This window comes from Homo sapiens, chromosome 11 (genome assembly GCF_000001405.40).
Source record: "Homo sapiens chromosome 11, GRCh38.p14 Primary Assembly".
Lineage (NCBI taxonomy): Eukaryota > Metazoa > Chordata > Mammalia > Primates > Hominidae > Homo > Homo sapiens.
Window position 1 is genome coordinate 67,846,985 of NC_000011.10, and position 13,782 is coordinate 67,860,766.

Consider the following 13,782-nt stretch of genomic DNA (forward strand, 5'->3'; position numbering starts at 1 on the left):
GTGGACCTCCCCTCTAATTAAAATGACAACTTGAGGGTTTAACCCTGTCCTATTGATCCCCAGGGTTACACGTTCTCCCTTTTTCCAATGGGGATCTAGGGGATTGGTAATTATTAGTTCTAGTGGGTTACAGTGACCGGCAGCACAGGAGGGGTTGGCTTCCCCCTTCTGAAGATAAACCGGGTCCTTTTTGTTCTTTTTTAAAGTAGCCTAAATAACACATGGCCAATAGGCACAATTTTTACAAACCCCTGACTCATGACAAACATTTATTTCTACTCTTTAGCTCCTTTCTCAGTTAAGAGAACCACATCCTATTTCTAGCTTTTTACTATTAATGGCTGCACAAGCATCAAATCTTAAAGTTATTTGCTTGGGGATTTCTTTTTCTTCTGTTCTAGTTATTATTTTACTTGTATCACCTAGGAAAAGGCCAGTTCTTATTCTTATTTCAAAAACGGTGGTGCAGGGGGCTCAGATGGGTTATAACACACATCAGGTCGGTCATTTCTCGGGCTACATACCTTGTACTGAGTGGCATTATACAAACAAGTTTCTCTTATTGTTTCCATACATTCATAATAACTATAGAACAGAAAGATTGTTTTAATTTGCTGTCCTGCTTCGGTGACCTGATGAATACACTGGGAACAGTCCCCAGTTTGAGTAAGGTCAGTTGAAGCCCTTACTGTATAAGTCCAAAATTTAAGAAAAATGAATCTCATGATGAGCTTCCTCAGGCTTCGGCCGTGCTTGGACTAGTCAGCTTCCGGGTGACTGGAGCAGGGCTTGTCATCTTCTTCAGGGTCACTCTGCAAGGGTTATCTGGGCTTGGTCTTGCCTCCCAGGTTTCAGGCGCTGCAGGTTTTATATGGCTGTGTTGGATCCAGGCTGGGATTCCTTCCACCTTCACAGCGGTGGGAGTGCTCAGGACGACAATCTGGGGTCCTTTCCACCGTGGACACAAACAGGCAACTTTCCAGTCCTTGATCCACACTCGATCATCTGGGGAGAATGGGTGAACTGGGGAGAATAAGCTAACAGGGCATCTCTCATTTACCCAGGCTGAGATTTTTTGTGTAACTTTTCCTAAGGCCTGTAGCTGTCGCTGTAACTCAATTTCACCTAACTCTCAGGGAGTGCCTGGAAGTCCCCGCAATATAGGAGGGGGCCTACGATATAATATTTCATAAGGGAAATATCCTGTTCTTTTAGAAGCGGTACATCTAATTTTAAATAATACCATAGGGAGAGCCTGTAGCCATTTTAATCCTGTTTCCTGACATACTTTCCCTAAACTATTTTTGATAGTTTGATGCATTCGCTCCACCTTTCCGGAACTCTGAGGCCACTAGGCAGCATGCAGTTTCCATGTGATCCCTAATATCTTTGCCGCCTTCTGTACTAAGTCAGCCACAAATGCTGGCCTGTTATCTGAGCCGATCCCTAAGGACAGTTCAAATCTAGGAATAAGATCTCGAAGAAGCACACGGGTTACTTCACGAACTTTCTCAGTTCGTGTTGGATAAGCCTCCACCTACCCAGAGTAGGTACGCCCAAGAACTAGTAAATACTTGTTACCTCTACACTTTGACATCTCTGTGAAGTCCACCTGGAGATCTTCAAAGGGGGCTGCTCCATAAGCTTGTATGCCGGGTGGAATAGCTGGACCTTGCCTCGCTTTATGCTGTCGGCAGGTAACACACCACTGCGTCACCGTTTTGGCAAGAGCTGACAAATGCGAGATGTAGAAATACCAGCCTAACAACTTTTCAAGTGATTCCTGGCCTAGATGGGTGGCTTCTTGCACAGCCAGTACAACTGCAGCTCCTAGCAGCTGTGGCACAGCTACTCTCCCATCCGGTAACCGAATTCATCCTTCCTCCATCACTTGTCCTCTCTCTGCCTGGAGAAAGTCCTTTTCTTCTTTAGAATAAGTAGGTACAAGATCAGGTACTTGAGGGAGCATGGGGGCTGTGACTGATGCCCGGAAGGGGGCAGATGCTGCTTTTCGAGCCTCTAAGTCAGCGCGGGAATTCCCTAAACCCACCAAGGTGGAAGCTCGCTGGTATCCTCTGCAACGCATAACTGCCACCTTGTGGGGTCTCCATATGGCTTTTAATAATTGCAAGATTTCTTGTTGATATTTTATGTCTTTTCCCCCAGAGTTCAATAGGCCCTTTTCTTTATATAATGCTCCACGCACTTGAAGGGTTGAAAAGGCTTAATGAGAGTCAGTGTAAATGTTGACATTCTTAGCTTCATTGAGTTCTAAGGCCCGAATTAAAGCAATGAGTTCAGCTTTCTGAGCTGAAGTGCCCTGGGGAAACGATCTGGCTTCAGCAACAGTGTCTAGAGTTACCACCGCATATCTTGCACATCTCTCTCCTTGTGGGTTGATGAAGCTGCTCCCAGCCACGTATAGTTCCCAGTCTACTGATGCCTAAGGCTGGTCCTGGAGGTTAGGTCTGCTAGAGTCAACTGAGTCCAACACTTCTACACAGTCATGCTCGACAGGGCTCTCTGATACTGGGAGCAAGGTAGCGGGGTTCAGGGTGTTACAAACTTCAATGGTTATATGGGGATTTTCACAGAGCAAACTTTAGTACTTAGTGAGTCTAGCATTCATTAGCCAATGATGTCCTTTAGTATTCATTAAAGTCACCACAGCATGGGAGGCCTTTATGTTCAGGTTTTGTCCAAGAGTCAGCTTATCTGCTTCTTGTACTAGCAGGGCAGTTGCTGCCAAGGCCCTCAAACATGGGGGCCATCCTTTAGAAACCCCGTCTAGTTGTTTAGAGAGGTAGGCCACCGGCCTCGGCCAGGGCCCCACAGTTTGGGTTAAAACTCCAACTGCCATCTTTTCTCTCTCTGACACATACAATGGAAAAGGCTTTGTTAGATCGGGTAGCTTCAGGGCTGGGGCTGACATAAGTTTTTCCTTTAACTCATGAAAGGCTTGCTGTTGCTGGGATCCCCATTCAAAACGTTCCCGCCCCACCCCTTTGTGACCTCATACAAAGGCTTGGCTTATACTGCAAAGTTTGGGATCTACAGTCTGCAAAACCCCACAGCCCATAGGAATTCTCTCACCTGCCTTCTGGTCTTAGGCTCCAGTAGATTTCAAATGACCTGCTTTCTTTCTGATCCTAGGCTGCTCTCCCCCTTTCGGATAGTAAATCCTAAGTAATGTACCTGCTGTCAGCAGATCTAAGCTTTTTTCTTGGACATCTTATACCCACAGTCCTCCAGATGCCGGAGTAGGGCATCTGTTTCTTTGGTGCACCCGACTGCCGTGGGGTGTCCCAGCAAAAGATCATCAACGTACTGGAGCAAAATGCAGTCTAGGTCTCTGGTGGGAAACCTCTGGAGGTCTCGAGGCAATGCCTCCCCAAAGATGGTGGGGGAGTTCTTGAACCCTTGGGGAAGCCCGGTCCAAGTGTACTGAGTAGTGACACCTGACTCCGGATCTTCCCAGATCCGGAAGTCAAACAGAGAAAGGCAAACAGCTTCTGTCTCTCAGGGGCTAATCTGATGCTAAAGAAAGCATCTTTCAGGTCCAAGCAGGTGAAGCAGCTGTCCTCAGCTGGCAGCAACCCCAGCAATGTGTACGGGTTAGGTACTGCTGGATGTAAAGTCACTGCAGCCTGATTAACCAAGCGCAAATCCTGTACCGGCCAGTAGTCCTTGATCTTAGGCTTGGGAACAGGCAAGAGGGGAGTGTTCCATGAAGACTGACAAGAAACTCTAATTCCAAAACTTCTTAGGTGCTTGAGATGGACCTGGATACCTTCAAGAGCTTCTCTGGGGACCGGATCCTGTTTTTGCCTAACTGGCTGGGCCCTAGGCTTAACTTCTATAAGTACGGGGGCTTGGTTGACTGCAAACCCTGGAGGGTTGTCTTCCACCCACACTCTTGGCCACCGCTTAGCCAGAGCCGGTCTTATCTCTTGGCCCCACTCAGTTAAGAAAAGTCTCCATTCTTCCTCTCGGGGGACCGTAAGGGTCATAATGACTCCTGTTCTGGGTGACTTTAGCAGCAAAGAGCCATGCTCTGTAAAAGAGATAGTGGCTCTCAGTTTGCTAAGCAAGTCCCTTCCCAACAAGCGCAAGGGACAGTCAGGTGTGTACAAACACTGATGAATCACTTTATGTCCTCCTACAGCACAAGTCCGAGGCAAGCAGAAAGCTTGCTTTGCTGAAACTCCCATGGCTCTGATGATGTTAATAATCTTTTTGGATAAGGGGGCGACCGGGGTGGTTACTACCGAATGTCCAGCACCGCTATCTACAAGAAAATCAATGTCTTTACCCCAAACTGTCATCCTGACCATAGGCTCTTTGGGGGTCCTTGAGCCCAGTCCCCCTCAGTCCAATAACCCTTCTGCCAGGTTGAGCAGGGCCCCTTCATCCTTGTCTGGGGCCTCCTGCTCTGAGTCACCTGGTTTTCTTTTTAGCTGAGGGCATTTGTTTTTCCAATGTCCTATTTCTTTACAATAAGCACACTGATTACGCTGCAAGCTCTGACAGCCAGGCTGAGTTTCCTTCCCGGGGCCCCCTTTCCCTTGCCTCTTTGGGGGGACCCCTCTGATTGCTGCCGCTAACAGGTCGGTGTTTCGCTGGGCCTGACGTTCATTGTCTCTGTGGTTTTCCTTACGGCTTACTGCATCCCTGTTTACAAACGCCTGGTTAGCTATTTGTAATAACTCTGATGTGTTCATCCCTGCAAACTCAGCCTGTTGCTGCAGTTTTCTTCTAATGTCTTCTGCACTTTGAGTAACTAAAGCCGTGTTAATCATGCGTTGATTTTCAGGGCTATCGGGATCAAAGGGAGTATACATACCATAGGCCTTACACAGTCTCTCCTACAATTGTGCTGGACTTTCTTCTTTTCTCTGAATGACCTCAGAGACTTTGTTAACATTTGTGGCCTTCTGGGCTCCCCTCTTTAATCCTTCCAAGAGAGCTTCCCAGTCTCTGTTTAGCCTTTGCATATCCTCTCTTTCATGTGGGTCCCACTGGGGGTCAGTTCTTGGTAACTGGGTCCTTACATACTCTTGGGGGTTTTGGTAATCAGCTGGTGCATGTTCCTCTAGCCACTCAGTTGCTGCTTGGAGCACTCTCCCCCTTTCATCCGTGTTAAAGAGGAACATGAGTAACTGGTGGCAATCAGCCCAGGTGGGGTTATGGGTCTGGATAATAGTTTGGAGCAAATCAATCAGAGCTTGTGGCTTTTCGGTACAGGACGGGGTATTGTTTTTCCAGTTGAGAAGGTGGGCAGAGGTGAAGGGCTGGTACCCAAAACACGCCTCCCCACTACGTGACCATCCTCATCTATCCCAGTCTACCGCTGCTCTCTCAGGGGCATTTGTGTCCCCGTTTTGGGTCTTAAACGAGCTGCCAAGGGAGGGGTTTCTCCCGAGTCCTCACCTCCTCTCTTGTCTACTCTGGGTGGCTTAGGAATATGTTTGTCTTGTGGAGGCGCAAGCACTGTGGACTCAAAAGTGGGGAGCCTGCCTCCCTGGTAAAGAGAGGGCACCACTGGGATCACTGGTGCCATCTCCTGCAATGGATCTTCTGATGTTGGGTCGAACAGAACTTCAGGAGTTGATTTCCCTTGGCGGGTGGAGCGGGATTCTTCCTTGGCTATCTGTCCCTTTGCTACTAGCACTGCTGCTGCCTGCCCTCTTAGCCACTGTGGGGGGTTTAGCATCAGCTGTAACCAAGTGTCTATGTATGGAAACTGGTCTGAGTGTCCTGACTTACCAGTTACCTTGTGCCATACCTTAGAAACAAGGGACCTGTCCAGGCTTCCTTCTGATGGCCACCCTACTTCTAATGTTAGCCAATCTATTTCATACAAAGTTCTAAGTTCCCCAAAGTCTCCATTACATCCTTTCTTAAAATTTTTCAACATAGTTCCCAGCGGAGTGGGCTTACTTTGTATCTGACCCATGTTTCCTCGAGACAAAACACCAAGCTCACACCACACGCACACCACAGAACAAAGAATGGGTAAAAAGGGCACACACACACTTTTTCAGTTTTCACCAAACCAGAATCAAAACCAAAATCAGAGTATCCAGAAATCCAAGCCAGGTCAAACTAAAACCAAAGTATCAAGCAATTCAAGTCAAGTCAAAAACAAGAACCAAAGTGCCAGTACAGGCACGCCATGGGTGATCAGGCCACGCTTCCACTCAAATGGAGTGGGCAAGTTCCAAAGACCAGTCTTACCAAGTTTCAAATGTCCGGACTCCAAGTGCCTCTTCCTTCCCTGTGTTCAGCCACTGTGTTGATCCTCCATGGGGGCCTACAACACACTGCTCTGAGGAGGCATTCCTCCGGGGCAATTGCCTACCCGGGAGAGCTCTCAGGATCCGCGTCGCTCAAGCTGGCCAGAGTCCCCTGCAGGGATGCTCCACAGGGCAGGCCTAAGCCACCTAACGGGCTGCCTCGACATTCTGTCAATTACCTCGCTTCCCGGTCAGGGAACCAAGACTAGGATGGGGGCAGTCTTTAAAGCTGTCTTCAAGGAACAGAAAGAGGAGTGAGGAAAGGATTTAGGATCTATGGGGTCAGCTAGGTTTCCTTTTGTGAGTTTATATAATGGTTTTGTTAGGATGGCAAAACCAGATATCTAAAGATGAAAGTATCCAACCATGCCCAGGAAGGAAAGGAGTTGTTGTTTTGTAGAAGGGGTTGGGGTTTGAGAGATTAGTCACACACGATCGGCAGGGAGAGCACGTGTGTTTTTATGAGAATTATGCGGAGATAGGTAACAGATAAGGAAGAAATTTGGGCTTGACTGAAGTAATGGGGGCTGTCTGTGAAGCTTTGCAGCAGTACAGCCCAGGTAATTTGCTGAGCCTGATGGGTGTCAGGGTCAGTCCAAGTGAAAGCGAAGAGTGGCTGGGATGAAGGGTGTAAAGGAATAGTAAAGAAAGCATGTTTGAGATCCAGAACAGAATAATGGGTTGTGGAGGGAGGAATTGAGGATATGAGAGTATATGTGTTTGGCACCTTGGGGTGGATAGGCAAAACAATTTGATTGATAAGTCATAGATCCTGAACTAACTTGTAAGGCTTGTCTGGTTTTAGGACAGGTAAGATGGGGGAATTGTAAGGAGAGTTTATAGGCTTTAAAAGGCCATGCTGTAGCAGGTGAGTGGTAACAGGCTTTAATCCTTTCAAAGCATGCTGTGGGATGAGATATTGGCATTGAGCGGGGTAAGGATGATTAGGTTTTACTGAGATGGTAAGGGGTGCATGATAGGTCGCCAAGGAGGGAGTAGAGGTATCTTCTACTTCTGGGTTAAGGTGGGTGGCAATGAGATGTATCTGTAGTCCGGGAATAGTCAGGGAAGCAGATAATTTAGTTGAAGTGTCTCGGCCTAATAAGGGAACTGGGCAGGTGGGGATAACTAAAAAGGAGTGCTTAAAAGAGTATTGTCTAAGTTGGCACCAGAGTTGGGGAGCTTTAAGAGGTTTAGAAGACTGGCTGTCAATACCCACAACAGTTATGGAGGCAAGGGAAAGAGGCCCTTGAAAAGAAGGTAATGTGGAGTGGGTAGCCTCTGTATTGATTAAGAAGGGGATGGACTTACACTCCACTGTGAGAGTAACCTAGAGCGTCTGTGATGGTCCTGTAGGCTTCCGAGGCGATCGATTGGGCAGTGTCGGTCTGCAGCTGCTAAGCCAAGAAGATCTGGGAAGGAGTCAGTCAGAGAGCCTTGGGCTGGAGTTCCAGGGGCTCTGGGAGTGGCTGCCAGGTGAGCTGAACAGTCCGATTTCTAGTGGGGTCCCGCACAGATGGGACATGGCTTAGGAGGAATCCCGGGCTGCAGGCATTCCTTGGCCTGGTGGTCAGATTTCTGGCACTTGTAGCAAGCTCCTGGGAGAGGCGATTCTGGAGGAACGCCTGGCCACTGCGCTTTAGGCGTTTGGAAGCTCTTGTGTGCTGGAGATGTGGCTGGGGTTTGTCTCACAGTGGAGGCAAGGAATTGCAACTGAGAAATATGTTGCTACTTGGCTGCCTGTACTCTATTATTGTACACCTTGAAGGCGAGGTTAATTAAGTCCTGTTATGGGGTTTGAGGGCCGGAATTTAATTTTTGGAATTTTATTTAATGTCGGGAGCAGATTGGGTAATAAAATGTATATTGAGAATAAGACGGCCTTTTGACCTTTTAGGGTCTAGGGCTGTAAAGCGTCTCAGGGTTGCTGCCAAACGAGCCATGAACTGGGGCGGATTTTTATATTTGATGCAAAAGAGCCTAAACCTTATCTGATTTGGGATAAAGAAAAAGGAGCATTAACCTTGACTATGCCTTTAGCTCCAGCCACCTTTTTAAGAGTAAATTGCTGGGCAGGTTGGGGAGGGCTAGTCATGGAATGAAACTGTAAGCCAGACCCAGTGTAAGGAGAGGAGGTGATAAAAGGATTATAGGGTGGAGGAGCAGAGGCTGAGGAAGAATTGGGACCTAGCTCAGCCTGGCAAGAAGGGGAGAGGTCAGATGGGTCTGTAGAAAAGGAAGATTAGAAAGACTCAGAGACACTTGGGGTTGGGACTGAGGGGAGAGGTGGGAGGGAAAGAAAGAAGATTTGGGATGAGTTGCTTTGGGAACAGAGACTAGGGAGGGACCGATGTGTAAAAGAATGCCTGGACGTGAGGCGCCTCAGACCATTTGCCCATTTATGACAAGAATTATCTAGATCTTGTAGGATGGAAAAATTGAAAGTGCCATTTTCTGGCTATTTGGAACCACTGTTGAGTTTGTATTGGGGTCAAGCGGCATTGTAGAAGAAAATAAGGCATTTAGGTTTTAGGTCAGGTGTGAGTTGAAGAGGTTTTAGGTTTTGAAGAACACAGGCTAATGGAGAAGAAAGGGGAATGGAGAGTGGAAGCTTGCCCATAGTGAAGGAGGCAAGCCTAGAGAAAAGAGAGAGTAGAGACACAAAGAGAAGGGGTGGGGTGGTCTTGCCTTCCAGAAAAGCAGGAAATGGGTTGGGGCACAGAAATAAAGGGTTGGGGTGCAGAGATAGGAGGTCAGGTTGTGGAAATAAGGGATCAGGGCACAGAGATAAGAGGGCGGGGCATGGAAATAAGGGATCGGGGTGCAGAGATAAGAGGGTGGGTTTCCTGTGCCTCCCCCAGAAAAGCAGGACTTGCTGCTAAGGGTGAAGGACCAAGGCAGGTGTCCCTGCGTGGTATGACACCTCTGAAACCTGGGTGAATAATCAGAGAGGCGTCCCTGCAATGATTAAACACCAAGGGAAGGCTGCCTTCCCTAGTCCGCGACCGGCACCGGAGTTTTGGGTCCACAGATAAAACGTGTCTCCTTGGTCTCTACCGGAAAATGAAAGGAATTGAAATTAAGAGAAGGGAGAAATTGAAGTGTGGTGCCAAGATTGAAAGGAGAAAGAGGTTGAAGGATAGTGAGGGAAGTTGGAGAAGAGAGTAAAAAGAAGCTGCTTCCCAGATTTGAAATTGGTGAGATGTTTCTTGGGCTGGTCAGTCTGAGGACCTGAGGTCGTAGGTGGATCTTTCTCACAGAGCAAAGAGCAGGAGGACAGGGGATTGATCTCCCAAGGGAGGTCCCCCAATCCGAGTCACAGCACCAAATTTCACATGCATCCATGTGAAGAGACCACCAAACAGGCTTTGTGTGAGCAATAAAGCTGTTTATTTCACCTGGGTTCAGGTGGGCTGAGTCCAAAAAGAGAGTCAGTGAAGGGAGATGGGGTGGGGCCATTTTATAGGATTTGGGTAGGTAAAGGAAAAAGGGGGGTTGTTCTCTGGCAGGCAGGAGTGGGGGTCACAAGGTGCTCAGTAGGGGAGCTTTTGAGCCAGGATGAGCAAGGAGAAGGAATTTCACAAGATAATGTCATCAGTTAAGGCAGGAACCGGCCATCTGGATGTGTACATGAAGGTCACAGGGGATATGATGGCTTAGCTTGGGCTCAGAGGCCTGACACTCTTCCTCCACAGGAGGAGACCCAGACAGAAGAGGAGGAGGCAAGGTGATCACAGAGGCAGAGATTGGATCATGCAGCCACAAGTTGAGGAATTCTAGTAGCCTCTATAAGCTGGAAGATGCAAGGAATGGATTCTCCCCTAGAACCTCTGAAAGGAGCATGCTCCTGCTAACCTTTGATTGATTTTGGACTTCTGGCCTCCAGACAATTTTTTTTTTTTTTTTTTTTTTTAGACAGAGGCTTGCTTTGTTGCCCAGTCTGGAGTGCAGTGGCATGATCTCGGTTCACTGCAACCTCCACCTCCTGGGCTCAAGCCATTCTCTTGCTTCAGCCTCCCAAGAAGTGGGGACTACAGGTGCCTGCCACCATGCATGGCTAATTTTTGCATTTTTAGTAGAGACGAGGTTTTGCCATATTGGCCAGGCTGGTCTCGAATTCCTGACCTCAAGTCATCCACCCACCTCGGCCTCCCAAAGTGCTGAGATTATTTAGGTGTGAGCCACAGCACCCAGCCCAGACATTGTTTGAAGCCACCCATTTCATGGTTCTTTGCTGCAGTGGTTGTGGAATATGAATGCACTCATGCTGTTGGTTAGACTTTGCTGACCTTGTGTCTGTTATTCCCTGGCAGTTCTACAAGGCCTGGAGCTGATACGAAAAACCTCCCTTCTTTCCCAAATGGTCCCCAGCTTCCCCGTTCACTGAAGACCCTGCAGTCAGGAACAGTCAGGACTTTGCACCCAGTTGTTGTGCGTGTTTGGCCGACCCTTCCTCTTGTGTGATTCGTGGACCCTTAGCATTGCATTACCAGGGAGCTTTTGGAATTGAAGACTCTCAGGGCTCACCCGGAAGGACCTCCTGGGCCAGAATCTGCATTTTAACAAGATGCCCAGGTGATTTGCATACACGTCCAGATCTGAGAAGCGCTAGTAGGAGAGGCTTTAAGGTGGTAATTAGATCTTTTCTCCACCTGCAAGAATCTTAGTTTCTTCATGTTAAATCTATTAACTGTGGCAATGTCATGGGTGTTATAAAACAAAACAAAATCCTTACATCAAGAATGCACCCTGGTGTGTTATGGATATGGGTGAAATGAAATGTCTGGAATTTGCTTTAAAATGTCCTAAAATAGCAAGAAGGAAAAGAAAAGTGGGAACTGGAATGAGATTGGAGAAATGTTGACAAGTTCTTCCAGTGGGATGATGGATGCATGGGGGTTCATGGTATAATTCTCTCCCTGCTTTTTGTGTATATGGGAAATTTCCATAATGAAACGTTAGAGGTTGGGCACGGTGGCTCATGCCTGTAATCTCAGCATTTTGGGAGGCTGAGGTGGGTAGACTGCTTGAACCTAGGAGTTCAAGACCATCCTGGACAACATGGTGAAACCCCATCTCTACTAAAAATGCAAAAATTAGGCATGGTGACAACATGCCTGTAGTCATGTTGAGGCACAAGGTTGAGACATGAGAATCACTTGAACCCAGGAGGCGGAGGTTGCAGTGAGCCAAGATCGCACCATTTCACTCCAGCCTGGGTGACAGAGTGAGACTTGGTCTCAAAAAAAATTTTAATTTTCTATTTTTTTTGAGATGGGGTCTTGCCCTTTTGCCCAGGCTGGAGGGTAGTGGTGTGATCTTGGCTCACTGCAAGCTCCACCTCCCGAGGTCACTCCATTCTTCTGCCTCAGCCTCCAGAGTAGCTGGGACTATAGGCACCCAGCACCATGTCCGGCTAATTGTTTGTATTTTTAGTAGAGATGGGGTTTCACCGTGTTAGCCAGGATGGTCTCCATCTCCTCACCTCGTGATCTGCCCACCTTGGCCTCCCAAAGTGCTGGGATTACAGGAATGAGCCATCTTGCCCGGCCTTAATTTTGTTTAATTTTTTTCTTTTTTGAGACAGGATCTGTAGCCCAGGCTGGAGTGCAGTGGTGCGATCCCTGCTCACTGCAGCCTCTACCTCCTGGGTTCAAGCGATCCTCCCACCTCAGCCTCCCGAGTAGCTGAGACCACAGGCATGTATCACCACACCTGGCTAATTTTTTCCCTTTTTCTAGAGGCAAGGTCTTGCTGTTTTGCCCAGGCTGGTCTTGAACTCCTGAGTTCAAGCAATTTTCCCATCTCAGCCTGGGAGTAATCCCAAAGTGCTGGGATTACAGGTGCGAGTCACTCTACCCAGCCTCAACTGTTTTTCATGACTCCACTTTTTCTCCCCTCTTGAAAATGAGTAGTCTTTGAGGGAATGTCTTTTTTGTCTCAATCTCTGGTTTCTTTGCTCAGTGCACCTGTGTTTGGGGTTTTGTTGCTCTCCAGGCCTTTTTCAGCAGTGTTGACCCTGGAGAGCAGGATGGGAGCTGATGGCTCCTCAGCATCTTTTAACTCAGTTTAAAGATGACTATCAACAACATCTAGTCAGCATCTGTTGCTCTCAGCAGCTGGGACTTCATTTCTTTTCTCTTTCTCCACCTCTCTAACCTCTTTAAGACTCTGTCTTTGTCATGGGTACAGCATCACCTGTGTGGCCCTTAGGCTCTCTTACTTACATGTGATCTGCGTATTATGTCTTTACTTCAGGGTTTCTCAACCAGGGGGTGATTTTGCCCCCCAGAGAACATGTGGCCATGTCTGGAGACAATTTTGGTTGTTGCAGCTGGAGGAGGTGGTGCTACTGGCAGCTAATGGGTAGAGGCCAGTGATGCTGCTAAACATCCTACAATTCCGCGGACAACTCCCACTAAGACAAAATAATGATCCAGCCCCAAAGGTCAATAGTGCTGAAAGTGAGAGACCCTGATTCCATCTTAGAGATCATCCAAGCACACTTGGCCAAATTGTTTTTGCTACTGTCCCATGAAGAAAAGGCAGACTCATGACTGATGGCAACATCGATGGGAATTTTGTTTACCTCTTCTTTGTGGACCTTGGGATACGATGACTTACCATTTGTGCAAGTTGTGCATTGCATACCTCCAGGGGGCGCCACCCACATATTTATGAAAATGCCACCCCAGAAATTGCACAGTACATAGTCTACATGGCAATAAGCAGTTGCTCTGGTTTTGGGGTTGCCCTGAGGTGCTCTGGAACTGGGAGGAACTTTATTTCTGGCCATTAGAGGCCCTGAGCATGACATTGAGTACCCTTTCAAGAAAGGAGAAATGTTGAACAGAGAGGACCTCATTTTTATAACTCTTGACCATCATCTAGTTACGGAGCATCCACTTTTCACCCCTGGGCCATATCCATTTGACGGATGAAAAATCATCAAATTATAATATCATGGCTTATACTTTTGATAGCTTCTGCCTGGAACATGGCGGTAACAACTTCTCATTTTCAATTGATTCACTGGGGGGAGAAAATATACACGGCTGCCCTAAGACTTTCTATTACATACCATTTGTTTGACGGAATTTCTTTAGTTTCTGTAGCATAACTTATTCTAACTGGTCCTCAATCACTTTGCAATAAAACCTGAGATTGTGAAGATGTTCATTGTCATTACCAGTGACGGAGCAGTAAGTACAGAGTTCTGGAGAGGGAAGGAACCGAGAGATTTAAACTAGCAGAATGAGCCGCTCACCCTCAGAGTTGCTTTTAATCTTGGCGAGAACTGAGGGGAATTTTGACAGGGTTCAGGGGGACTGCGGGGAGTGGGGCTGGGAAGTGGCTATTTGCACGTGTGGTCAGCAAATCCAGTGAGGGGGTCCATGTACTGTGGGCAGCCCCGCAGATGGAGTTGGGATTGCCCTAGACTGAGTACTGGGTCATCAGTACTCAAGACATCGAGGCCCAGGCTGGT

The 13,782-nt window shown here is 47.7% G+C and overlaps 1 protein-coding gene and 1 pseudogene across 1 annotated transcript in view, besides 1 other annotated feature; both read right to left on the reverse strand.

The window, feature by feature from the left end:
* LOC112268076 (translation initiation factor IF-2-like) overlaps positions 1–13,782 on the reverse strand; it is a 154,152-nt gene that overhangs the window by 34,976 nt on the left and 105,394 nt on the right. The window lies entirely within an intron of this gene.
* The window catches only part of ENPP7P7 (ectonucleotide pyrophosphatase/phosphodiesterase 7 pseudogene 7), a 60,830-nt pseudogene that overhangs the window by 34,443 nt on the left and 12,605 nt on the right, over positions 1–13,782 (reverse strand).
* Positions 9,617–10,289: an enhancer, noted in NCBI's record as "NANOG-H3K27ac hESC enhancer chr11:67624072-67624744 (GRCh37/hg19 assembly coordinates)". NCBI's record gives its function as "activates a minimal SCP1, AML or CMV promoter by ChIP-STARR-seq in primed H9 embryonic stem cells {active_cell/tissue: H9 hESC(primed)}" and the evidence as "EXISTENCE:reporter gene assay evidence [ECO:0000049][PMID:30033119]".